This window comes from Homo sapiens, chromosome 10 (genome assembly GCF_000001405.40).
Source record: "Homo sapiens chromosome 10, GRCh38.p14 Primary Assembly".
Lineage (NCBI taxonomy): Eukaryota > Metazoa > Chordata > Mammalia > Primates > Hominidae > Homo > Homo sapiens.
The window spans coordinates 59,885,404-59,912,371 of record NC_000010.11 but is presented as its reverse complement, the minus strand read 5'-3'; the positions used below and the strand labels follow the sequence as shown (position 1 = coordinate 59,912,371).

At 43.9% G+C, this 26,968-nt stretch overlaps 1 protein-coding gene across 1 annotated transcript in view, besides 6 other annotated features; it reads left to right on the top strand.

The window, feature by feature from the left end:
* Nucleotides 3,388-4,181: an enhancer, noted in NCBI's record as "NANOG-H3K27ac hESC enhancer chr10:61667949-61668742 (GRCh37/hg19 assembly coordinates)". NCBI's record gives its function as "activates a minimal SCP1, AML or CMV promoter by ChIP-STARR-seq in primed H9 embryonic stem cells {active_cell/tissue: H9 hESC(primed)}" and the evidence as "EXISTENCE:reporter gene assay evidence [ECO:0000049][PMID:30033119]".
* Nucleotides 5,227-5,521: a silencer, noted in NCBI's record as "tiled region #3982; K562 Repressive DNase matched - State 1:Tss". NCBI's record gives its function as "represses a minimal TATA promoter and a strong SV40 promoter by Sharpr-MPRA in K562 cells {active_cell/tissue: K562}" and the evidence as "EXISTENCE:reporter gene assay evidence [ECO:0000049][PMID:27701403]".
* Nucleotides 5,704-6,043: a silencer, noted in NCBI's record as "silent region_2387". NCBI's record gives its function as "represses an Ori minimal core promoter by ATAC-STARR-seq in GM12878 lymphoblastoid cells {active_cell/tissue: GM12878}" and the evidence as "EXISTENCE:reporter gene assay evidence [ECO:0000049][PMID:35858748]".
* The window catches only part of CCDC6 (coiled-coil domain containing 6), a 117,810-nt gene continuing 96,657 nt past the window's right edge, over nucleotides 5,816-26,968 (top strand). Inside the window, exon 1 of the mRNA NM_005436.5 lies at nucleotides 5,816-6,250. Coding sequence (NP_005427.2) covers nucleotides 5,948-6,250 — 303 coding nt within the window. The 5' untranslated portion in view covers nucleotides 5,816-5,947. The remainder of the gene's footprint in view (nucleotides 6,251-26,968) is intronic.
* Nucleotides 6,074-6,353: a silencer, noted in NCBI's record as "silent region_2386". NCBI's record gives its function as "represses an Ori minimal core promoter by ATAC-STARR-seq in GM12878 lymphoblastoid cells {active_cell/tissue: GM12878}" and the evidence as "EXISTENCE:reporter gene assay evidence [ECO:0000049][PMID:35858748]".
* Nucleotides 6,874-7,103: an enhancer, noted in NCBI's record as "active region_3391". NCBI's record gives its function as "activates an Ori minimal core promoter by ATAC-STARR-seq in GM12878 lymphoblastoid cells {active_cell/tissue: GM12878}" and the evidence as "EXISTENCE:reporter gene assay evidence [ECO:0000049][PMID:35858748]".
* Nucleotides 20,810-20,899: a silencer, noted in NCBI's record as "silent region_2385". NCBI's record gives its function as "represses an Ori minimal core promoter by ATAC-STARR-seq in GM12878 lymphoblastoid cells {active_cell/tissue: GM12878}" and the evidence as "EXISTENCE:reporter gene assay evidence [ECO:0000049][PMID:35858748]".

Sequence of the window (26,968 nt, the reverse complement as noted above, 5' to 3'; positions counted from 1 at the left end):
CTGAACATTTCTGTCACTCAGAGTTTCCATTTCAGGTCAACCTTCAAAATAAGATGCCATCTTGGAGAATTCTGGACCACGTAGGTAGTATCAAGTACATATGTGAACCCTCTAACTTCATCAGGCTTAGGTCTGGGTTATAACTTTTCTAAAGAGACGTTTTTTAAAAAAGAAACAAAACTCTGAATTCTGTTTAAGGCAAACAAGCTTCCTTGTTTTCTACCTGATTGTTGGTATGGAGATTTTTCCCTTTAGTTCAGCCTTTTGGTGTGGGTGTAGCTTTTAGCTTTTTGATGGTTCCAGCATTCCGTGTATGTCTTAGTTAAATCTTCTTGTCTTGTATGTCCCCAAGGCCTCAAGTTCTGCTCTTGATGGATATTAAACTAAAACTCCTTGTTTAATAAGACCCACAATGCTGTTGCCCAAGTTTTTGAGATGGAGTGTCGCTCTGTCGTCCAGGCTGGAGTGCAGTGGTGCGATCTTGGCTCACTGCAGCTTTCGTCTCCTGGTTTCAAGCAATTCTGCCTCAGCCTCCCGAGTAACTAAGACTACAGGCGCGTGACACCATGCCCAGCTAATTTTTGTATTTTTAGTAGAGATGGGGTTTCACCATATTGGTCAGGTTGGTCTCGAACTCCTGACCTCAGGCGATCCACCCGCCTCGGCCTCCCAAAGTGCTGAGATTACAGATGTGAGCCACCGCACCCGTCCCTGTTGCCCAAGTTTAAGCTACCAGGTTTACATCTTTGGTTTTTGGTTATCTCTTCCCCTTTTTTCATACATACATTTTAATGATGTATAATGTATATACAGAAAGGTACACCAATCATAAGTATATAGCTCAACACCTCTTCATGAGTGAACATTCCTATGTGACAAGCACTCACATAAAGAAAAAGAACATTACTAGAAAGCTGTTAGGATTCTTCCAATCACTCCCTTCTTCCAACAAGAATCATTATTCAGACATCTGACACCATAGATGAATTTTGCCTATTTTTGAACTGCATGTAAATGCAATCATACAGCATATACTCTTTTGTGTCTGGCTTCCTTTGCTTATAATTATGTTTGTAAGGCTCACTGATGTTGTTTCATGTAGCCACAGTTTGTTCATTCTCATTACTGTTATTATTCCACTGCACAAACGCAACAGGATTTGTATTATAGTCAGACATTTGGGTTGTTTCATTTTCCTCTTTGCTACTGGAGCCTGGGATTTCTCTTTACTTTCTTTGAGTTCTGCTGTGTATTGAATAGGATTAAAGCAGCATTTCCTGGTCAGCAATTCTAGATGTTCTGTGTCAGGCAAAGTTTTAGATGTTACTGGCTGCCAAAGCTCCAGACACATAAATCATATGTGTTTTGTTTTTTTTTTTTTCGAGACTGAATTTCACATTTGTTGCCCAGGCTGGAGTGCAGTGACGTGTTCTCGGCTCACTGCAACCTCCACCTCCTGGGTTCAAGCAATTGTCCTGCCTCAGCCTCCCGAGTAGCTGGGATTACAGGCATGTGCCACCATGCCCAGCTAATTTTGTATTTTTAGTAGAGATGGGGTTTCACCATGTTGGTCAGGCTGGTCTCAAACTCCTGACCTCAGGTGATCCGCCTGCTTCAGCCTCCCAAATTGCTGGGATTACAGGCATGAGCCACTGCCCCCAGCCTGATATTCTTACTTCTCAAATGATTTACTTTAGCTGATGACTTATTTCTTTAGACTGTCATCTGTATTAATGGCTTTGGTTCCTGTGAAGCAATAATGAGTGAATAAAAACAGGAGCATAGGGATGAGATATGTAATTAATCTTGTAGTCATGATCTCTTGACAAGTTGAGATGTTGCATGTGCAAGGCTAGTTTAATGTTAAAAAGTGTAAAATATTGAAAAAACATGTTGTAGAAATAGAGTGGCTGGGCCGGGCATGGTGGCTCATGCCTGTAATCCCCCTACTTTGGGAGGCTGAGGTGGGTGGATCACCTGAGGTCAGGAGTTTCAGACAAGCCTGGCCAACATGGTGAAACCTGGTCTCTACTGAAAATACAAAAAACTAGCTGGGTGTGGTGGCTGGTGCCTGTAGTCCCAGCTACTCGGGAGGCTGAGGCAGGAGAATCGCTTGAACCCAGGAGGTGGAGGTTGCAGTGAGCAGAGATTGTGCCATTGCACTCCAGCCTGGGTGATAGAGCGAAATTTGGTCTTCAAAAAGAAAAAAGAAAAAAAAAAAAAAGAAATAGAGTGGCTAAAGACAGCAATAGTATAAAGTGTGGATATGGTTGTTTGGGCCCAGGATCTCTTGTCTAATTGACACTGAGAAGATAAAATGAGAAGGAAATTCTGTTGGTGACTCAGTGGTATCTAATCAGTGTGTAACCACTCCAAAATGGGGCTGTCTTTTGTTTTACTAGTTCAGTGGTTCCAAACTGGAGGTAATTTTGCTGCCCAGGGGATATTTGGCAATGTCTGAAGACATTTTTTGGCTGGCATACTACTGGAATCTACTAGGTAAAGGCTAGGGAGGCTGCTAAACATCCTACAATGCACAGGACAGCTCCCTACAACAAAAAATTACCCAGTCTCAAATGTCAGTGTTCAGAAATGCCTTGCTAGACCTAGACAAAGCTTCTAAATTAAAGGTGTAATTAGATAAAGAAACTATCAACTACTTTTCAAGAAATGATAGCCCTAGGCTGGGCACAGTGGCTCTCGCCGGTCATCCCAACACTTTGGGAATCCAAGGCAGGAGGATCACTTGAGGCCAGGAGTTCAAAGCCAGGAATTCAAGACGAGACTGGTCAACATAGAGAGACCTAGCCTCTTAAAAAAAAAAAAGAAGGAGGAGAAATGATAGGGCTACATGGACACATTCTTCTATATTTCTATCCAACTTCTGACACTGTGACATCCCGCTCATACTTGGCTCACCCTAATTTTTTTCAAAACTGTAATGGTGGGTCCTGCAACAACTAAATCCATTTAGAATTTGAATAAAATTACTCAGATCTGACATTAATGTAACTGGATATGTACAGCAATTTGTTTATATATATTAAAAATTAACAAAATTGCTCTATGATTTATGCCATTATTATTTTATTTTATTGTTGTAAACACTAAAGTTCCAAGGCCATAGAGTAAGTGATTTGCAAAAATGGCACTAGACAAATAAAAATCTTGATGTTGCGCCTTGCAGTTAGACTACAAGGTATTCTTTTCCTTTGTTCATGTGTTTTTGCAGCTTAAATTGAGGGCAAAGCTAAATTTCATTATTTCTCCAAAGGAGGTGATTACCTAAATCTGTCCCTTCTTCCTCCAGGCAGCACATACTACCATTTGTTCTTGTGATTCATTTCCCCTAGAAAGCTGAGAAGGAATTTTATAATGATATTATTGGTTTTGTAACTGGTGTTTCCATTGTAATGCTATTACGGAACCAGTGTTGTGATAAATGATCTGTTTATAAGGGAAATCACTTTTACAAGAAGTAGAAAATTAGACACGCTTCTGCTTTGCAATAACAATAAAAACCGCGGTGAAAAAATATTCTCCAGTTTATTCCCATCTGTATCAGCAGGGAAGCTTTAGAAGATGGCTTTCTCCCTAAAGTCTTCTAACCACGATTACTACCTACAAGTCCCATGTCAAAATGCAAATTTCCTCCAAATTCCACTGAAGGCCACTACATTCTTAAGCTTAACCATGACTTGGGCCCTTTAAGAAAACCAGGCGCTTCAAACTCCACCCCTCTGCTGACTTGAAGCAGTGTGAGTCCGCCTTTCCAAGGCGGTTAGTTTTGTGGTGACGCTAAGAGAGAGTTAATTTGCCCCCTGCTCTGCCTGGAAGGAATGTTCCTGTTGCAATAAGCTCTAAAAGTGGAAGCTTTAAGATAATATGGAATAGGGAGCAATAGAAACTTGTGAGGTATGGCAGCCAGACCTACTCTTAAGATTCGATCACAGTGCTGAATAAAGGGGAAAGAATGTTGTTAAATCTGTTTCCCCCTGTGGTGCTTCTCCCTGCTAGCTTTACTCTTCCATTTCAACCCTCAAGTGAGCTTTCCAGAATCCGTTTCCAATTTAACTCATTGTCTCATGTACTAGATCCCAAAAAAGTGAGAGAACTAAGTTTCAGTGCAAATTAAACTGGATCACTTGTAACAGAATGATTTAGATTGCCTATATGTTTCTCAAGAGCAAAGCCAAGCATTTCCTCCCTCCTGCTATACAAACAGTGACAGAGTTCAGAAGCCCTCCAGCACTAAGCTAAAAAATACCTGGGAGAAACTGGGGTTTAGTTGCTGTTGGCATTTAAGCTGTTTGCTAAAAGCAGCCATCTTGGTGAAAGATGATGTCATTTGGAACACTTGGTGTTTTCGAGTTTATTCTGAGGTGCCAGTTTCCAAGAGCCATTGAATCACCGTTTAATCATGAGATCAAATTTAGGTTTAAAGATAATGAGGGAGTGGGAATAAGAATCATTCTTCTTTCTTCCTAACACTTTAGAAATCTTTCAGAAAGTTCAACCCAACAGAAAAAAAAATTACACTTTTTTTTCTATTTTCTATTACCATGTGTTTGTTGTAATGTTAACTAAGCGTGGGTAATAAAACTAGTCTGGTCAGTTTCACTTTCCAATTTTTATACATAAGTGAAAGCTGTTTTGTGTCAACAGGGCAAAGTGTTTAGAATCATCTCACCTGCTGGGCCAATTTCCTGCAAGCCTTTCTTTGGGAAGAGGAAGGGGGAATAAAAGTTTTTGATTTTTAATTTCTTAAACTGCAAAGCTAGAACCATGAATTAGACCGCATTACAGTAATTACTGTTTTATTTTTACATGCTAAAGTTTTCTAGGAGTGAGCAAGAGGATAGCAAAGACGGGTGATGTTGCACTCCCACTCAATCATTACTATTTGTATAGCATAATGTTATGTCCGCAGTTACTTTGGAAAATTGGCACTTAAAGAGGTGTTTCAATCTTCTACTAAAAGTGTTTCGCCTTCCTTTTTTTTTTTCTTCATTAGGTAAATGTTACTGTCTTAATCCTACTACGAGACATGTGCTGGAAATGTTTGCAAAATGCAAAGAGAAAAAGAAAAAAACAGTTGCACCTTGTTTAAACAATTGAGCGCAGTGTGGTTTATGAGGTTATTAAAGGAGATGTGTGTCTCTCCTGCAAATTCTTACTTAACAAGGTTAACCTGTGGCTGCTGTTGTTTCATCCTCCTCGGCCTCTTGTAGAGGAACTTTGTTCTCTTAGGTTTATCCAAGCCTTCCTAGTCAAAAACACCTTGCTTTTGAGAATATAAAACTGCGTGTATGTGTGAAACAGATAGAGGGAGACACGCGCACACACAGTCGGCGGAAGATGGGGCCACAACACGGTAGAGGATGGGTGCCGGAGCCCGGCTGACCTTTCCACGTGTCCCCGGCACCTGCGAGGCTGGTGGGGCATCAGGTTTCCTTTTTCTCGGGGCGGGCGCGAGCCCGGAAGAGGCTGGGCGGCCGTGGGCTTAGATCAGGGGGCTCGGAGGCCCTCCCTTGGAACACGTGTGGCTGGCGAGCTGGTGGTGCGGGGGCAGTCCTTGGCTTTCCCGCACCCGCAGTGCCTGCGCGTTCCCAGCCCGCCCGTGGTCACCAGACGGCGGCGGGCGGGTCCCGGAGCTTTCAGCCAGCTTTGCTGGGCGGCCTAGGGAGCGCGCCCAGCCCGGCTGGAGCGAGCCCCAGTGCAATACTGCCCAAGCCCGGGCGGGGTCTCTGTTCTCTGGCAGAGGAGGTCCCTTGGCAGCGGGAAGCGCCCTCTCTTTCTCTCGCCGCCGCTCCGAGTCTGCGCCCTGGTGCCAGGCGCTCAGCTCGGCGCTCCCCTGTGCTCGCCCGGCGCCCACTCATTCGCAGCCCGGCCTTCGTCGCCGCCGCCTCCCTGCTGCTCCTCCTCCTTTCCCCAGCCCGCCGCGGCCATGGCGGACAGCGCCAGCGAGAGCGACACGGACGGGGCGGGGGGCAACAGCAGCAGCTCGGCCGCCATGCAGTCGTCCTGCTCGTCGACCTCGGGCGGCGGCGGTGGCGGCGGGGGAGGCGGCGGCGGTGGGAAGTCGGGGGGCATTGTCATCTCGCCGTTCCGCCTGGAGGAGCTCACCAACCGCCTGGCCTCGCTGCAGCAAGAGAACAAGGTGCTGAAGATAGAGCTGGAGACCTACAAACTGAAGTGCAAGGCACTGCAGGAGGAGAACCGCGACCTGCGCAAAGCCAGCGTGACCATCGTGAGTGCCCCCCGGGGACGCGCCGCAGCGCCGACCTCCGCCCGCCCCGGGAGGGGCTGCACCCGAATCCAGCCACCCCCCAAGTCTTCCCCAGATTCCCGGGGACCCTCTGAGAGCACACTCCCTGCGGGGACCTGCTGGCTTCCGGGAGGAGAGGGAGGTATCCCTTCGGGGCCACGCGGGTCTGTCCTCCTCGGGGGTCTGAGGACCCTTGCGCGGTGCGGGGGAAGGCTACTGTGGCAACCATTCATGGTCCCTTTTAGCCTCTGGAGAGGAGGCCCCTCCGGGGCTGGGCTGGAGGCTGGCGGCGTGGCTGGGGGGCGGGGTAGGACTTTTTTCAGCCCTAGCATGTTTGAGGGGTGCGTCCAGAATCTGGGGAACCCCAGTCCTGGAAGAGGGAGGAAGCTGGGATCTCTTACTGGGTCCTGGCTCGGAGTGTGGGGGTTCGCAGCTGGACTGGGCACTAAGCTGGCATCTGGACTGCGCTAGCTGGATCGCCCGGGGAGGGGGCGGGAGAGAGTGGCCGGGAATCCGGGAAGTGGAGTTTTCTGGCCGGGATCGAGAGGGAAGGGCGGGTACGGCGCTAATGCTCCCACCTCTGTTGGAAGCTCTTTGCTTTGGGTTGGGAGGGTGGACGGTTTACAGCGAGGAGAGTGCAGCATCCACGCCTGGACAGGGCTGGGGCCGAAACCAGGGGAAGGGTAGTGACTGTGACTCCCTGGCTGAGCCAGAGGTACGTGTGTTTGCTTCATTCGTGGAGTGGTTAGAAGTATCTTGCTTCTGAGTCTAGATACTGGAGAACAGGCCATCTGTTCTGTTTCTACCTGTCCCCTGGAGGCTGCCCAGAAACGGGTAAGCTTGGGTCTGTAGGTCTCTCTCCTGGTGTGGCAGGCGTTTAGAAAGGCCCCTATAGCAGTGATGAGGCGAAACGTAACTAGAAAAAGTACACTGTGTACTCTCACCTATCATCCCTGCCAGCTCACCACATCATTAACATGAAGGATCCCCACACAGACAACTGTATTCAAATCAAAAGTTCCCCAGCCAGAAGCAGAGAAGATGATGTCAAGAAATCAAGGGGGATAAATGGCCATAGCTGCTGCAAAATAGCGGATTAGGCTGAACTTTGAAATGAAGAAAAAGGGATGAATTTGGGGATAGAGGGTCACACCTTGGAAATGGAGCAAGTTTAGGATGCCCCTTGTGCCAGGAAATGCCTTCGGTGGAGGAGGCTGTGTATATGTGTGCGCACGCGTGTGTACACCCCCAGTGCTGGCTCATACATGAGAACTAGATGGCATTCTTAATTTGTGTAGAAAGCAAGTTGCAAGTTAAGTGTGATCAGTAGCCTAAATAGCAGTTGATTGTAAAAAGAAACTTTTCATGCTCAAATCCAATTTTGGAGAATGGAATTGGAGCAACTTTCATGTGAGATGGTAAAGTTCTTGAAGTGCCCTTTTGGTAGGAAGGTGGGGGGCGGGGAATTTGCAGAGGCAGCCACTTCCAAGCCTCCTATGCAGCTTTCTTCGCTGACAGAGATGTCTTTGCTGAGTGGGGGTTAAGAAGAGAGGGAAGTTGTTGGAGGCAGTTTAAGGTTTGAGTTAGTAAATGAGAGGGTTAGTCTCTTGGAGACTGTGAGCCATGGAAAGTAGTAAGACTTGCATGAAGCAAAATAGCCTTTTGCATGCAGTGGGCAATTCAGGCTGGTTTTGTTTGGGAGGGAGGAATGAGGGATGCAGAGACTATGAAAGGGTTATCTGTTTGACACTTAGACCGTATTATAACTAGGTTTGTAAATTGTGCTTAAACATGTTGGCTTTGCAGGAACAAATGTGTTCATTCCCGGTGTTTAAGATCAGAGGCCTTCTGAGTACTTGGCTAGAAGAGCGTATAAGGTGGTGGCTTGCTTTCTTAGCACTTACCCTTAACTACACTGACATCCAACCGAATATACTTTGTGAAATGTCGTGTGGTGTTAATGAGTAAAGTTAACATTGTTTTAGATGACACTGCACAAGTACCAGAAGCCTCTCAGTTCTTCTTTAATTTCTGACTAATATATTCAGGGAGACACATAAAAAAGTGCTTGTGGTTCGCCTGGTTTCCTAATACTTGGCAGTTGTTACTAAGGAGCTGAATGATAAATGCAGAAAACAGATTCCTTCAAGATTTTGCAGGTTTTGTTAACTGACCTAGGATCCAGATTCTGTGGTGGTACGTTTGACCTCTCAGGTATGTAATGCGGGAGGAGAAATTTATGTGACTCCATGAAATGGGCCTGTGAATGTAGAGTCCATTGAACAACACTTAAGTAGTTTATGTCAAGGTTAAGCTGTACAATCCCTGACATCGCTGACTTAAGCATTACCCTTGCTAGTGGCAGGCTAGGAAGTTTCTGATAATTAAGTGAAGGCCTTGTTAGATTTTTCACTATTTTAGTTAATTTGAAGGGAAGATGGTACCATAATTCTGGTAATTGCCTTCCTGGCTCTTTTTAGTTCTAATTATGATATTAACGTTCATGTCCTTGGGCACTAAAGGTGATTGTGGCCTTCTTTTTCCTTGAGCAAGTTCAGGAAGACACATTGCCTTTTTGCCACACCCTGGGGAAGAGCCGGGCTCTTTTTTTCCCCCGACTTGTTTTGTTTTTTAATAGACTTTATTTTTTTAGAGCACTTTTATCTTCACGTAACACTGAACATAAAGTACAGAGATTTCCCACGTAACCCCTGCCTTCACACGGGCACAGCCTCCTCCACCATCAACATCTTTCATCATAGTGGTCCATTTGTTATAGTCAGTGAACCTACGTTGATACATCATTATCACCCAAAGTCTAGAGTTTACTTGGTCTTGTATATTCTATGAGTTTAGACAAATGTATAATGACATGTGTCCACCATTATAGTATTACGCAGAGTTTTTCTGCCCTGGAAGTCTTCCACGCTCTGTTCATCTTTCCCTCCCTGCAAACTCCTGGCAACCACTGATTTTTTTTACTCTCTCCTTAGTTTTGCCTTTTCCAGAATGTCATATAGTTGGAATCATACAGTATGCAGACTTTTCACTTAGTAAATGCATTTAAGTTTCTTCCATGTTCCCCAACTCCTATATCTTGTTTTCTGTTCAGAGTTAAATAGTATTTCATTGTTTGGATGTATCATAATTTATCTCTTCACCTCCTGTAGGGCATCTTGGTTGTTTCCACCTTTTGGCAATTATGAATAAAGCTGCTGGAAATATTCATATGAAGGGTTTTGTCTGGAAAGATATCAGTTCATTTGGGTAAATTCCAAAGAGCATGATTGCTGAATTATATGGTAAGAGTATGTTTAGTTTTATAAGAAATTGCCAAACTGTCTTCCAAAGTGGCTGCATCGTTTTTCATTCCCACCAACAGTGAATAAGAGTTGCTTTGGCGGGGCCGGGCGCGGTGGCTCATGCCTGTAATCCCAGCACTTTGGGGAGGCCAAGGCAGGCGGATCACCTCAGGTCAAGAGTTCGAGACCAGCCTGGCCAACATGGTGAAACCCCATCTCTACTGAAAAAAATACAGAAAAATTAGCTGGGGATGGTGTTGCATGCCTGTAATCCCAGCCTCTTTGGAGGCTGAGGCAGGAGAATGGCGTGAACCCAGGAGGTGGAGGTTGCAGTGAGCCAATGTCGCACCACTGCACTCCAGTCTGGGTGACAGAGCCAGACTTCATCTCAAAAAAAAAAAAAAAAAAAAAAAGAGTTACTGTTGCTCACCAACATTTGCTGTAGTCAGTGTTCTAGATTTTGACCATTCCAATAGGTGTATAGTAATATCTCTGTTATGCCCTTTTTAAAGCCAAGTCCAAAGGCTAATAGAAGCTCTTAACCAATGGTCTCTTCTGGTATGTAAGCGGCTATTCTGGTCAAACTACCCATTTAATGAACGACTAGTTTCATGGGCCTGTGTTCTCAGTATCTGTATAATAGTGGTAAACATCATCTGTGGGAGACAATCAACAGTAAGCAGTCTTTCAGTCGTGTCCACAAGCGCCCAGTGCACCTGTGAGTTATAGCCTGCCCTAGGCCATTTTATTTGGGGCTTAAAAGTGGAATAGAATATTTTGAGTGATTATTCAATTTTCCCCATGAAGTCAGCAGGGGAATCAGGCTACTGATTACAGATCATAATTTCTTTTTTTTGGAGTAGGGGAAATAAACAAATGCATAGTCACCTTTTTGAGTAGCTTTTGTATGTTAGGCCAGATCTGTTGGTTTGTCCTATGAGTGAGAATGTGATTGTGGATTATATGATTCAGTGTAGTGAGGGTTATTGTGGGGTGGTGGTCTTAGAGAAGGTGAGGAAATGCAATTGTGGGCAGTAATTGGATGGCTTCAAAGTTCTCAGCTAGTTGCTGGCATTCTCCGTGTATAAGCAGGGCCTCAGGTGGTTCTCTAGGGTGTGTACCTCTTCCAGGCAGTTTCAGACCTTTGGTATGTGTTTGGTTTGGAAATCAAGGCCTATAATAAATCACTGATATTTAAGTGTCTCTCTGACTGTAAAATTAATCCTTTATTGTAGAAGTTAAGGGAAATACAGAAGTACAAGGTGTTTTGAAGTTATAATAGAAAAATATGTTGGTCTGGCATGATTAGAAAACCTGGCTATTTTAAACATCAACAGTGTAATGGTTTCATTAACCAATAAAATCTGCCATATAGTTGATGTTGTATATTTTGGATTATTTACTCTGGAAGTCTAATATGTTATTTTCAATTTTTAAGACTTTTGTCAGACTCTGAAGCTACAAATCGATATTGCCTTTATAAATGTGACGATGAGAGTGTGATGTCTTTTTTCCCCCCGTTTAGAAAAGTATTTCTTAGATTCTTATGGAAACACACAACTTTAGACACAACTTTGAGGAAAATATGACCTCACAGTTAGGTCTAACTGTACACAAGTCTTCTTAAAGAGGCCATTCTCCTATTTCTTCAGCATTTACGAGTTTTTTCACATTTGTAAGTATCTTCTATGTGTTTCATATACTCTATTTGTACTTAATTTTTAAAAACCGTTTGTTTTTTTTGTGTGTGTGTGACAGCTTTATTACCCAGACTGGAGTGCAGTGGTGCGATCTCAGTTCACTGCAACCTCTGCCCCCCAGGTTCAAGTGATTCTCATGCCTCAGCCTCCCTACTAGCTGGGACTACAGGCATGCGCCACCATGCCCACCTAGTTTTGTATTTTTAGTGGAGGTGGTGTTTACCATGTTGTCCAGGCTGGTCTCAGAACTCCTGGCCTAAAGTGATCCACCCACCTCTGCCTCCCAAAGTGCTAGGATTACAGGTGTGAGCTACCATGCCCAGCCAAAAGCTGAAATTTTAAAGGTCATGACAGTCTTTTACAGTGCTTCCTATTTGCTAGAGATGGGGAATCATTAGAGAATTCACAGTATCTGGTTTGTGGTGACTCTTGTTCAGGACCAGAGAGGCTGGTCTACAGCAAAAATTGAAGGTAGCCATTGCTTGCTTAAACATATTGAATGACTCCCCATTGTCCTTGGATCCAGGTGAACCTTCTGGTGGTTTACCAGGCTCTGCATGATTGGAATGCCCTGCTTGCTTCACAGCCACACCTCTTACATGCGTTTAGCCCAGTGTGCATTCTCTAAGCTCTCACATCACTCCTTTACTACTAGCACCCAGAACTTCAGTAGATTTCCTCTGGCTCCTCAATGGTGCCGCTCGTCCCCTTAAATGTTCTTCTGTATTCCTCCCCTCTTTTCTACCTTGTCAGTTGAAATAGACTGTACTGCCTTCTCCACCTGAACCCCTTCCTGGTATGCCCTGATACTTCCTCTTTGTCAGCCACACACCGGGGTATGCACCTGCTACTGGGGTATGCACCTACTTCCGTGGTTCCATAGACACCACCCCCCCCACCCCACGTCACTGACACTCGACTATCGAGATCTTTCCCGGTTCATGTGTAAATTTCTTTGGGGGCAGAATTTGCCTTGTTCATCACATTCCTCAGTGCTTGGCATGTGAGAAACACCCAGAAATTTGTTGAGCTGGCTCCAGAGGCACGGGTATGTATGTACTTGTTTCTTTCTGTGATGAAGGTGCCAACACTCTCTCTGGGACCTTGTCTTCATAGAGCCACTCCCCTGCCACAACAGCAAACACTTTCTTTACCATAGTTGATGAAACAGACCAGATATGTGAATGGATGCATTGTATACTTTGGGGGACCATTGCAATCAGTGTGCCCTTGCCTTCTAGCTTTGGGTGATGTGGGCTACCTTGCAGCATACACCTGGGTGTTCCTGATAACATTTTATCTGAAAGGGGACAAAGTATTTTCAGGTTCTCCTTTCTAAGTGTTTCTGAGCAGGGCTTGGAGGAAAAAGTAGCCCCATTGGAAGTGTTCAGATTTGCTGCCTTGGTTTTGGTGATGGTGGCAGATCATTCCAGGTGTTTCCTATGACTCTTTAATGTTGAAATGCACCACTGGGAAACAACTCTGGCCCATTGCAGGGGGATGCAGTAATGCAAATAAATACTGGTGACCTGTAGCAGTGATGGGGGAAGCATCTGAAAACAGGGTAGGGGGATTGTTGAATTCTTACGTCTGCTGTGTCTTGCAGAGACACAAGTGTCACCACAGTGTATTTGTGTGTGTGTGTTTTCCTTAAATCATGCCTTGCCGAAATAATTGTGTTTACACTTCAAAATGCTAATCCAAACTACTGAACTGCAGTCAGGCTGAGTAAGGAATAATGGTAATCTTTTCTGTCCTCTCTGCATACTTTTTTTCCTTAGTGGGTAGGTGTTGCTTTTTGTTTTCAATCACATTGTGGTTGTTTTCAGGTATATTGAATTGTCAAAGTTGGCAGAGTAAATGTTCACAGGTTCAATATGTTCCTGCTTGGTGATGGTTGCAATTTTCTTGACAGAGGAACTAATCCTCTGGAAAATATTTTTAATTGTGAGGATCTTGGGGTGGTGTTAACTTGCAGATTCTTCCTACTTCTCCAAGGCTGTCAAATTTTCTTATCTTTTATGGCTGTGAAATGCACAGCTGTGAAGTCTATTCCAACCCTGATACCAGTAAATTGCAAAGGTCACTTTGTGTAGGTTCTCTCTTTAGGGATAAGTATTCTTTTAAAAAAGGCTTAACAATATGATTGATGGTCATTTAGAATTAACCCTCCCCTTTACTTATTGGTTCCTGGATCAGACATATGGAGTGCAATTTAATGATTATAGTTCATTACAATACTCATTTGTTTTTTGCTGGGAGATTTTTCTGGTCTCCCCTCTCTGCCCCCGCCTTTGTTTCTTCAGTAAGGTACAAAATGGCATGTAATAAATAAAATAAATATAGCCTCAAAGAGGCAGGATTCAGCTGTCAAGTGCTTATAATACTGTGTGCTGGATACAAATATCCAAAAGGAATGTTAGGGCTCTCCCGGTAGCATAGCGAGGATTGCACTTGACTTTCATTCAGCCTGGCCCTGGCCTGGTGCTGTAGGGAATACAGAGCAGAGGGAAACAGCCTTTCTCTCCAGCCTTGGGGATTGTGCAGTGCAGAAGGAACCAACACACACATGGATGCAGGAAGGGAAGCTTAGGCCGACTCCTGTAGGGGTTCCCAGGGAGGGGAATTTTACCTTCCAGCTTCCAAAATGAAGTTCATCTATCTCTGTGAATATCTTTAAGGGTAACAAGTTATCACATTCATTCACAGTTTAATTAGCTTGTAGTTTATTATGTAAGGCAGAGATGGGGAGAGCTGTTGCTCAATTTATGCTGAGGTGGCACTGGGAGGCTTTTGGTTTGTTTTTAATTTTTGTTTTTATGTGATGATGATTGAAAAGAAATGTCATTGATATTTTAATTTCATAATCTGCATCTGTCAGTACATGGAAATTATCTAGGTGGTTTTTTTCCCTCTATTCCTGTTTCTTTCATGGAATAATGGTGGATGGACGGAATTTCTCAAGTTTTTAATCCGAAACTATCTGAAAGCAAAGACTTCTTGCAGTAAAATTAGAGGTACTATTTTATAGGAAATTTTGAATTCTAGTTTTTTACAAAAGCAGTGCTGATTGATGGGCTAATCTTCCATGCATCTGTTCCAGATCAATCCAGCCTTGTGGTGCCAGGTGTGTGTCCAAAGTGATCTGGGTAATACCCACCAGGGCATCTCAGGGCACTGAGGATCAAATGAGGCCACTTGGTACTGCAGAGCAGAGTTGGGATGTTCAGCCAGGCATAAGTCATCATTCAAAAAGTTTTCCATAGGAGGAAGGACGAGAGTAAAAGAATGAAAGCAGCAGGGATTATGGGTGACCTAAAGAAAATTCTTAGAAATCTAGTTACCTGTGTTAAACACTTCACCTGTTGCTTCTATAAGTGAACAGTTTGAGTCTTTTGTGCTGTCTGCTTGTTGAGATTGAATTAGAGAGGCTAAAAGGGACAGATCTGAGAGAAAAATAATTATACCTGGAGTTTCATATAGATAACTTTTCAACTCATGAAATTACTTGTATGCAAGCTTGACTTTTTAAAAATTATCCTAATAGGCCAGGTGTGATGGCTCACGCCTGTAATCCCAGCACTTTGGGGAGGCCGAGGCAGGCGGATCACCTGAGGTCGGGAGTTTGAGACCAGCCTGACTAACATGGAGAAACCCCTTCTCTACTAAAAATACAAAAAATTAGCTGGGCATGGTGGTGCATGCCTGTAATCCCAGCTACTCGGGAGGCTGAGGCAGGAGAATCGCTTGAACCCGGGAGGTGGAGGTTGCGGTGAGCCGAGATTGCACCATTTTACTCCAGCCTGGGCAACAGGAGTGAAACTCCATCTCAAAAAAAAAAAAAATTATCCTAATATACCAACTCAAATGATAACTTTTATTCTACTGAGAGATGTTTTTTGTGGGGTGGAGTTCTTCACTAGACCAGAGTTTATCTAAACAAAGACATCCGTTGAGTCAAAACATCGTGTCTTCACTTCATTTAGTAGCCCTACTAATCTTTGAGGAAAAAATTGACTAGGTGATTTTATTGTTTTTATTAACCAAAGAGTACTGTTTTAAGTGTATTCTCCATAAAGTAGAGTTAGACTTCTTCAGGTTCAAATCACTACCTGGTAAGGGTTTATGTCCCTTGGAAAGTATATTAACTGTTTTATGCCATTTTGAGCCTTGCATGCATGGGGTTTATATTGTGAAATACCTTAGGTACCCAGAGAAGAGTACCAGTGACTTTTTTTGCATTTTTTTTTGTGATAAAAACATACACAACATATAATTCACCATTTTAACCATTTGTAAGTGTACAATTCAGTGGCTTTAAGTACATTCACAGTGTTTTGCAACCATCACCATTATCCATATCCAGAACTTTTCATCATCCCAAAAGGAAACTCTGTACCCATTAAACAATAACACCCATTTTTTTTTCCTCCCTGGTAAACCTCTATTCCTAGTGACTTAATTTTTTTTGTTTGTTTGTTTTTGTTCTTGTTTTTGTTTGTTTTTTTTTTTAAAGAAAGACTTACTCTGGTCTACAAAAGCTGCTAGCTGCTTTTTACTGTCCTGGTCTTGAAGTTATAAATTTGGACCTTAAGTGTTGATGTCTTATTTTAACTTAAGTTTGTACTGCCTGTTAGCTGTCCCATATATGGTTCTTTTCTGTCACTCAGCAAATGTGCAGTGCCCTAGCCCTACGCCCAGCTCTGGGCTTGGTGCCAGTAAGCACCCAGATGTGGAGATGCTGGATGAGGGAATAACCCATGGCAAGAGCTTGTCCTCCAGGAGGGAAGGGTCATCCCCCCATATCTTACCCCCAACACTTCACAGATCATGGTTGCTTTTTATTTTTTATTTTTAATGAAATGTATGCATTTAATTTCCTTGATAGCATTTGGAATAAACTGTAATTTTATTTTTTAAATTACTTATTTTTATACTCACAGGTACAGTTTATTACAGGGAAAGGATGCAGGTTAAAATCAGTCAAGGGAAAAAGCATATAGGGCAGAGTCCAGGAACGTTTTTCATTGTGGAGCTTCTAGTTATCCTCTCCCCGTGGAGTGTGCACAACATTACTTTCCTGGCAACAACGTGTGACAATACACATGGAGTATTGCCAACCAGCGAAGTTTGGCCAAGCCTTGGGCTGCAGAATTTTTACTGGGGCTCATCACATAGACATGGTCGCCTATCCACAGGGCAGATCTCAGTTTCCAGGCCCTGAGTAGGCTGTGCTGATACCACATGGCCTAAAGCGCTCAGGCTGAATCACACTGTTAGGCTTTCCAGTGTGATCCAACGCCCTCAGGTAAACAAAGACACTCTTATCAGGCATGACCTTCGAAAGGGTTAGAAATTGCCTCCAGAACGTCAAGGACTAAAGCCAGACCTCTTTTGAGGCAAGGTAAACCGGAGTTTTAAAAGGTTTGAAGGAAAAAGAAAGCTTACAGAATTTTTATTCACCACCATTGTCCCACTTCCAAATCTTTTTGTGTTGCTGTGATAACAGTGGATGTTTATCCAGTGCTTACTATGGGTTAGGCACTATTGGAAGGGGTTTGCGTATATCCTCTCATTTAATCCTCACCACAGTCCTATACGATCAGTACTACTGTTTATCCATAGCCATAAGCCTACAAATTTAGGCCCAGAAAGCTTGTATCACTTGCCTGAGGTCCCATGACTATCAGATGGGACTGGGATTTGAGCCCAGGTCTGACCTCAGAGCTTCTACAGTCTGTGGGAAGATGGCATATAAATTAATTTAGGGACAGGCCTTTTTGTTTGGTCGGTTTTCTTTGAGACAGGGTCTCGCTCTGTCACACAGGCTGCAGTGCAGTGGTGCCATCATTGTTGACTGCAGCCTCGACCTCTTAAGCTCAGGTGATCCTCCCACCTCAGCTTCCAGAGTAGCTGGGACTGCAGATGTGTGCCACCACTCCTGGGTCACTATTATTATTATTTTTTATAGAGGGTCTTACTATGTTGCCCAGGCTAGTCTTGAACTCCTGGGCTCAAGCCGTCCTTTCACCTTGGCCTCCCAAAGTCCTGGGATTACAGGCATAAGATACCATGCACAGCCCAGGGACAGTTTTATCTTCATCTCATGGGCATTTTCCTATTAGAAGTTCCTATACAGTTCTGTTCAGTTAGGATAGTCAGGGCTGCTCCTTTGCCACAGCAAATTCCCAGGATGCTGGGCCTAAGGGAGTGTTGCCAGGGTAGCAAACTCCCTGTCTTGGAAAAGAAATAACACTAGAGAAGGGTTCCTTCATCGCATGGGGGACAGTCTGTGCTCCCCTTCCTGGCTCAGTTGCCCTCCAGTTGGGCCTTGGTCTACTCCACTCCTGCACCCTGTTCAGCTACCCCAGGATATTGCCACCTCTTCACATGGCATAGCCTTATGGATTCCCCCCCACCCCTCCCCATCCCAGTCTGGAATCAGTTTCTTCCTTTGCATTTATGTTACAATCTCTACTTAAAAATAGCCTGACTAGCACAGTACAAGTGGGTTTTTTTATTTTTTTCAACAAACATGAGTGTCTGCTGTATGCCAGGCAGTGTGCCTGTATATAACAACTGGGATGATTTTGTGCTGGTGGCATTGGTGGTGGGCCCCTGATTCAATCCAGGAGTGGAGGCAGAGTTAGAGAGCGCAGGCTCTGGAATGAGGAGATTTCTTAGTCACGATCTAAAGGATAAATTGAAGTTAATTTGAAAGAAGTAGGGGCTGAGTAATGATTGGACAAGGCACTCCTCCCACACCCAGGCAGAACCTGAATGCCGAGAAAAATGAGGATGGGAGGAGAGCAGTGACCAGCTGGGCAACTCTGGGCTGTGTGCCTGGATTCCCTTCAGGAGCTCACTACAGAAGGGCGGGGGAAGAGTAAGAGCATTTCTGCCTCTTGGAAATCCACTCTGGCTACTCAGTGCAGACATTTATTTGTGTCTTTTTAATGAAATATTTGAAGGCAGGTATCTTGTTATTTATCATTAGTAGGATGACCTGTCTTATTCCATGATAACAGTTGCCACATATTGCAGTCTTGTGGTGTTTCTGGGTATGGTTCTCAACCCTTTACCGTTAGGGACTCATTGACTCCTCAGGACAACCCTTTGTGATCTCAGTGTCACAGATGAAAGACATGAGGCACAGGGAGTCCCAGCAACCCCTTGAAGATCGCAGTAAGCAGCAGAGCAGGGGATTGAACACAGCAGTTGGACGGTACCTTGCATGGTGACTGCCATGTAAAGACCCTACCATTTGAAGGGTCATTTGTGTTTTCCATAACCTTAACACAGCTGTTCAATAAAGTTTGTGGAATAGATTTTGGGAACTGCTCACTTTTCTTTGTAAAGCCTTCGGTGGAGAACCATAACTTACTTTAAAGTATACAGACTTTGAATGCACAAATTTATCAAACAGTGCTCATTGTATGTATGTATGTATGTATGTATGTATGTATGTATGTATGTATGTATGTATTTGTTTGTTTGAGACAAAGTCTCACTCTTTCACCCGGGCTGGAGTGCAGTGGGGTGATCTTGGCCCACTGCAGGCTCTGCCTCCTGGGCTCAAAGCGATCTTCCCACCTCAGCCTCCTGAATTGCTGAGACCACAGGCGTGCACCACCATGCCCAGCTATTTGTTTCTTGGATTTTTTTTGTAGAGACATGGTTTCACATGGTTGCCCAGGCTGATCTCCAGCTCCCAGGCTCAAGCGATACTCCCACCTCAGCTTCCCAAAGTGCTGGGATTATAGGCATAAGCCACCATACCCGGCTGCTCAGTGAATTTAAAAATGAAGTCACTGGTGTAACCACCACCCTGCTTAGGATACATGCAATTGTCAACACCCCTGAAACTGTCATGTGCTCTGTTCCAGTCAGTATCCCTCCCCCCGCAAAAAGTAACCCTGTTCTGATTTATCTCAATATATTTAATAGATTTGTTTTGCTAGTGTTTGAACTTCATATAAATGGAATTATACAGAATGTATTTTGTGTGTCTGGATTCTTTGATTATCCTAGTTCCTTCACTAATATTAAACAGTATCCATGCAGTGCATATAGTGAGTTATTTTTTATTGCTGTGCAATGGTCTGCATAAGTATCTGTGAAATTATTTTCAGTTTTAGAGTCAGCTTCCTGGGCGGCCCCACCCCCTTCCCTCAGTATTGGTGCTGGGCAGCGGGATGACGTGAAAGGAGTGTGACACAGCAGAGGACATTCAGGCCCTACAGGACTTATGTGCTTATTAATTAGGTTCTGGCTACCCTACTAGCTAAGTTGTATTGCATTTAGGGCCTTTGAGCCTTGGTTACTTACCTTATGAGAGACTGTAGAGTTAACACAAATCTTGCTCCCATCCCACAGTTAATGAAGATCAAATGAGATTGATACACACAGGAAAGTTTTGGGGTAATGTGTGAGTTATTCCTGTAGAAAATGATATTAACTATTATTAGTACTTCCCCACCCCCTTCTATTGTCCTCCAAAATACATTTCAAAATCAGTCCTGCTCTAGATAATCCTATAAGATTATGATAGAAAAATAACCTCTTGAAAGCTGAGCGGGGGTGGTTGAGGCCGCACCAAGCTCCCTGTGCACCGCAGGTTGGGGAGCCTCGCAACCTGGCTTCTAACGACCCATGTTTCTCTGGTGCTTGGGGATGCCTGGGAACTGAGTGGGTTTCCAAGGGTTTGGTGAGCCAGGATTATACCAGTCTGTGTGGCTGTGTAAAAGTAACAGGACTGCAGGAGGTAAACACACTTCCTAAAAGATCTGGTTTTTTTCCCTATAGGTCAGTTACAGAGCTCTTTCCATTGTGTTTTTTAAAAAAGTACACGTTTTCTGACTTTAGTACTATCGGCAGACAGAAGACTGTCAAAACTGGCCTCTCTGATAGAGACTTTTGACCCTCTTTCATGGGGGTATGGGTTCTAGAAGGTGGACTTTGATGGGCAACGCCCTAGTGCCACTTCTCCTTAGCTGCTGGTTTAAAGAACAGAAACCAAAACATGAATCTTTGAAATGGACTGACTTTGCAGGATTGCAGTAGCCGAATGATGGAAGGACAACCCCTGGTGATGGGCCAGGGTGGTCTGTGGGAGGCAGTAGTTTTCTCTGCCAAGGACTCCTCAAGTGACCTCTTTTCTTTGTTGCCTCTGGGTTGCTTTCTAGCCTGAGGACTTCATTTGAAGATTGAGGAGCATGCTTTTCTCCAAACTACTATTAATATTTTGGTTGTATTGACTTTTGGGATGGTAAGAGAGGGCAAGGAGGCTATTTTATCTGATGAACTCTGCTTGCATTGTAAATAAACAAGTTAAAGTAAGCTCAAGACTGCCCTTCCCTCTTTTGCTGTTGTCTATCCATCAGAGTTGTGGGGCCTCTAGCCAAAACTATTGGAGCCTTTTGGTTTCTCTGCCTCCCTCTCTGCTACTTGTCTGAACACCTTCTTGTTGAACTCTTTTTCAGGTAAGGAAGATTAGTGCTAATGACAGTCATCCCTTCCGTGGTTGGTTCTTACTTGGCCCAGAGCCTTGTAGCTCTGGGTGATTGCTGCCTGACAGTGATGTGTAAAGGGAACTGGGATTCGCTTGTTAGGCCACAAATGAAAACCGGTAGGCTTTACTGCTTTCCATAAGTACAGTGTATTCTTTCCCCAGTTCTCAAAGTCTTCTATAGCTTCTATTGCTTTTGTTTTTATGCTTCTTTATTTTATGTGTTGCAGATTAGCATTCTCTATTAGGCTGTGTGAATTTTTCCCTCCTTTCAATTTTATTCATTAACTGCTTTCTGATTTTCCCACCCTAGGGTGCTTTGGCTTGACTTGGAATAACGGAAGCACTTGGAAACCAAGTAGGATTACCAGTTAGCAAGTAAAAATGCAGGATGCACAACTGTATTTCAATTGGAAATAAACAATGAATTATTTTTTAGTATACATATGTCCCACATGTTGCATGGCACCTATATATACTAGAAAATTATTTGTTGTTGATCTGAAATTCGAATTTAACTGGGCCTCCTGTGTTTTATTTGATAGTCCTAAAACCTAGAGGACCTGTGTTTAAAAATCTGTCTGCCCTATCGCAAGGACAGAAAACCAAACACCACATGTTCTCACTCATAGGTGGGAATTGAACAATGAGAGAACACTTGGACACAGGGTAGGGAACACCACACACCGGGGCCTGTCGTGGGGTTGGGGGAGGAGGGAGGGATAGCATTAGGAGATATACCTAATGTAAATGACGAGTTAACGGGTGCAGCACACCAACATGGCACATGTATACATATGCAACAAACCTGCACGTTGTGCACATGTACCCTAGAACTTAAAGTATAATAATAAAAAGAAAATAAAAATAAATAAATAAAAAAGAAAAAAAACAAAAATCTGTTTGCCCCTTCCTTGCTGTGTGAACCTGGGGCAATTTAGCTAACCTCTAAGCCATCTTGCCCTCTTCTCTAAAAAGCGATCATAGTATCTTAGCTCTCCAGTTTTGGGGATAAATGATGTGACTTAGGAAAGCTCTCAGGGTGCATTCAGCACAGTTCTTCCTTTTCCTTCTCAATTCAATGATTATAGATTTGCTTCTTGCCCATTTCTTCCCTTTTCTGTTTTCTTCCCCCACAAACCTGAGATCAGGTTGCTGTCTGAGAAGAAGCCGACGCAGCATCCCCTCCTTGGCAGCATCCCCTCCTTTTGCGGGGCTCTTTGGAGTCTTCTCAGGATGGTGCCTCCACTTCTTCCTCAGCGGCTCTCAGTTTGCTTTCACAGTTCCTGTTCTTCCACACCAGCTTCCTGGTCTCCTCCTCTCTGAAAGCCATCGTTGACTGGATGTCTCAGGTATCTGCCGTTACTTGGCCACATGTTACGAAACCCCTTGTTTTATGTCTCCTTTCCTCGCCAGCCTGCAGTGGTACTGGGAGAACTGGGCCTATCTATGCCTTGCCTTCTCTGTGGGACGAGACATCAGTCATGTCTTTCTTGACGAGCCTCAGCTTCCTGAGAGAAGTGTGTTTAGAATTTAGGGTTTGCAGAAGGGCAGCTTGCATTTGGCCCCCAGGTGAGGGGTTTGGCTCTAGAGTTGTGAAAACAAACCATGTGGAGTTGAGAGAGAAGAATGTAATTCAGAGATTGGTCATCCCAGTGGTAGAGTTGCTGAGAAGCTGAAGTGGGGTGGGTGATGAGACAACCCAGGGATAAGCAGGAGCAGAACGCTGCTCCCACAACCCCTCTGGAGGATAAAGGGAGGAGGTAGTGCCATCAGAGCCCAGGGGCTGCGGTCACCAAGAAGTTGGAACTCCCCTGGGCCTTGAGATGTGGGTGCTGCCCAAGTTGGAGAAAGGGGAGAAATACTCTGAGTTCTCCCTTCCATCCTCCCATCTCTTGCTAGTGCCTCTTATTGGCTGAATCTCATTGGCGTACTTTGGAAACTGGGAGATGGAGCCTGCAGAGGTCACCTGTACCTTGCAGAGCAGGAGAGAAGGGCAGTGAGGCATCTTGGGCCAGACAGACCCAGGGCTGGCCCAGGAAGAAATGAATGAATATGGAACTGACTGTGTTTGGCCTGGGCAGCTGTTGAGTACTTTGTGGACAGCAGAAGGTTGGAAGACTCAAAGGTTTTTATTCCCTCAGGAAAACATGAATAAAGGGCATTCTAGGGAGAAGGATCAGCATGGATGAAGGCATGGCAGCTTGAAACAGCAGGCTGACTTGTAGCATCCCATGCAGCCCAGAATGGCTGGATTGATGTTTGAGGTCTTTCCTATCCATCTTCCTCCTGCCTCAGAAGCCCCTCCCATAGAATGCTTTCTCACGTGTCCCTGTTGTCATTTGTCATTTATGGCTGATGCACATTTTCCTGCAGGGAATGCCAGATGGGAAGCTCTGCACCTGAATATCTTCCAGGCCAGCTGCTTCTGACACAGAGCATGTACCATGTAGCCAGTGGGGAGCATCTTGGGATGCCTCAATAGCCCTAAAAAGGAATTCATGGGCAGTGCCAGTTAGTTTTGATGGGTGAAGCGTGCGTGGGTCCCCTGATATTCAAGGGCCCCAGCTCTGATGAGGATGTTGATACCCTGGGAGGAGAAATGGCTGCCCATGTTAGTGACTTAGAGGCCTTATCTCGTGGCCCTGCTTGTCTGGCATGCAATCAGACTGTGAGAATACTTTTCTCACATTTCCCTGCTGTGAAATTTATTTTTATGATGATAGTGGATTTTGTTTAAGCTTATTTTATTATGGAAATTTTCAAGCATATACTAAAGTAGAGTGAATCCACAAACCACCAGCTTCACTGATTATTGACACATAGTCTTAAAATGCTTTCACCATAAATGGTTCAGTTTGCCTCTCTGATAAGGACTTTATAACCACCATACCATTATCATACCAGACAAAATTAGCAATTTTTCCCCTGGCAAATTAGTGTTTGAAAGGTAAACATCACAGGCTTTTCTGTGATCAAAGGTATTATCCTTGTCTCCCCTCTGCTATTAAGCCCTGTGCCCTTAGGCTGCTGGCCCCAGCTCTAACCTTCCTCCCTAAAGCTGTTGACAGCAGGCTTGGAGACCTTTTACCTGCTGCCCTGTTTCCTGGTCCCCAGCTTCCGAGCATCCCAGTTTTGCTGGTTCTGCCCTCAGTAGGTATGCAGACTGGCTTCCCAGCCCCCATGACGAAGCAGCAGAAAGTTTAGGTCACCACTTCACCTGTGTGAAGCAGACCTGGCTTATGTGGTTCTACTATAAGGAAATCTGAAGTGAGGCATCCTGTGCAGCCAGCCTTCCCTGGAAGCTTCTAGCTGAGAAATGTCTGAGCATCTGTGGGGAGTCATGCCCTCGGAAGATGGACTGGCATCTATGGCTTCCAGAAAGTCTGGTGCGGTGCTATGTGTGAAGCCACTCAGGGCTGGAGAGCACCAGACAGGAAGCTGTGAGCAGTATGTGCAGACACGTTTTCTGGACAGGTAGAATAACAAGCAGTCTTTGCCCAGAATCTCCAGCTCTGAAATCTGCAGCTTGAGCAGCATCTATGGAGTGGTTTCAGCTAAATTATTTCATTTGAGTCTCACGGCAAGTCTGTGGGAGTAGGTAGTGTGTACCTCCTTAGAAAATAAAGGATCTGGGGCTCAGGTGAAATGCTGTTAAATTATTGGCCAGGGAACAGTGCTGGTAAATGGGACAGTTGGCATTTCCAGGGAGGTGGCCTCACATCCAGGCTAGGGTTCTTTCTCCTCTGTTAGCTCCTTGGCAGAGGAGGAGGTTAAAAAAAGGGTCTGATAGTTCAGCACTTACAAGCAAAGGGCATTCAATTCCAAAATTTCTAGGAAATTCCAATGTCGCATTTGACCCAGCAACAAAAATTGGGAACCACTAGTCTATACATTTGTGAGTACATATGATATTTCTTCTGAGATTTGAAATAATGCCCCATTTAAAAAATATTTTTAATTGAATTTTTTTGACTAGGAAGGACATCACTTGGTATTTGGTCCCCTTCCCTTTAACACAAAAGGTGGCGTATATGATATTATATTCTGTTCTGCCCCTCCCCCTGCCATTTAATTATATTTTGGATACTTCTCTTTTTTTTTTTTTTTTTAACAGTTGCATGGTAAGCCATTGTGTGGGTATCTCTTACCATTGTGCATTTAATTTGTTTTCAGTCTTTTGTCTCAAAATGTCACCGTCACCTTGAACGTAGGTCATTTTGTATGTGGGTGAGTGTATCAGAGGGGATAATTCCTAGCCACTCTCTTCAACCATTTCCTTATGTTGACTCAATCATTACATCAGTCTTGTGAAGTAGCCAGTAGCATATTATCCTTGTTTACAGACAGGAAACTGAGGCTCAGAGAGGGTTGGGTGACTTGCTTAAAGTCATACCGCAGAGAGTAGGAGAGCCAGAATTGACACCTAGCTAAGCAAGCTGATTCTAGGGAATTCCCTCACTTTTTGATGCTGCCTTTCTTGGTAAATTCACAGAAGTGACATTGTTGTGTCGATTGCCCTATATATGTGTAATTCGAATAGATGTTGCTTCTACAATTTACACTTCCATTAGTAGGATATGAGAGATATGTGGCCCCATACTACACTGTCAGAGGGTTTTCTCAAACTGGATTTTGGTAGTCTGGTAAATGGACAGTGACATATTAGTACAGTCTTTGCATTTCTCTCAAGGGGGTGGATAAGCATCATTTCTTGTGTTTATAAGAGCCATTTGTATTCTTTTTCTGTACCTGCCTAGTTGATATCCTTTCTTGTTTGTCTTTGGGGACCTTGGTCTTTCTCTTACCCATTTTTCTTAGAACTCTATATGTTACAATGACTTGCTCTTGTTTTTCAATTTTGAGTTGCAAAAAAATTTCCCACCTGTCAATTGTCTTTTGACTTGGCTTTTGGTGTTTTTTGGCCACAGTGAAAATTTTTATTTTTATGGTTTCTTGATGTCATTTATAATCTACAGGAAATATTGCTAACATTTTATGGTAAAACCTTTCTGTATATTTACTTCTTTGGAAAAAAGTAGGACAGACTGCTTTTGTGTTTTTGTTTAAATGATAGTGCATTTAAGACAGATTCAGAAGAGTGTGTAGAAGTAGCGATGCCAGATATTCTTTTAAATTGCATAAACAATTGAACTCACAACTGCACATTAGATACATCTCCTGGTGTCTTTTTTCCTCATTCTTGTCTGTATAACACTTTATATTTCATATGAGATCTTGAATTAGGATAATTTCCTCTGACTAGTTGATCAATTACTGAATTGTTTATTTTGGATACTATTATTGTAGCCTCCTTCTTCCTCCAGAAGCTGCTGCTTAAATGGATTCAAGTGTAATTGGCATTATTTTTCTATCCTGGTCCGTTTCGGGCTCTGTTTATCTGGTGGTTTTATTTTACTCTGCAGTATTTTCCATTTCCCCTGCTTAAAGATAGATTTAAAGCTGCAGACCTTAAATGTAATCTTCTTTCATATTGGCCGGTCTTCTTTGTTCATCTCACAGATATTACAAATAACGTATATATTACAAAACTTTGTTCATTCTGCTAATATTTCTGAGGTTATTCTGTATATAAGGCTGTTCTATGCATTGTGCTAAGAGGTTTTGAGACAGTTCCTGCCTCTGGCAGCTGATATTCTAGTTGGGGGGGCGGGGGGCGGGGTTGGAAATAGACATCAGACAACTGATTTCACAGTTATAGAATTGAAGCTGTGATAAATCCTTCAAAAGATGTGTTTCTTGGAGGATATGATGGGGGGAACCAGACCAGTTTAAGGCAGCCAACGGAGCTTCCCTGAAGTGACATGTAGGCTGCAATCCCCTGTATATCTTTTTTGGAGTTAACCATGAAGAGAATTGGTAAAAAAATGTTCTGGGCCCAGGGAAGAGGCTATGCAAAAAATCCTGAAAGCGACAGAACTGCAGGGCAGGTTTGAGGAACTGAAAGACGAGTTGTGGTCAGAGTGAGATCGGGATGTGGCCTGAAGCTGGAAGTAGGTGGGGCCAGGTCTGATAGGGCTCTCAGTCCTGAATCTTGAATTGGACCTGCATTAGACCACTCTTGAATTAGACTTGAATTATTCCTTGAATTTAATTCAAGGGGTAATGTTGGCATATGTGCTTTTAAATTAGGAGTAGGTTTTTAAATTCGGGGGACCATGCCAGTCTA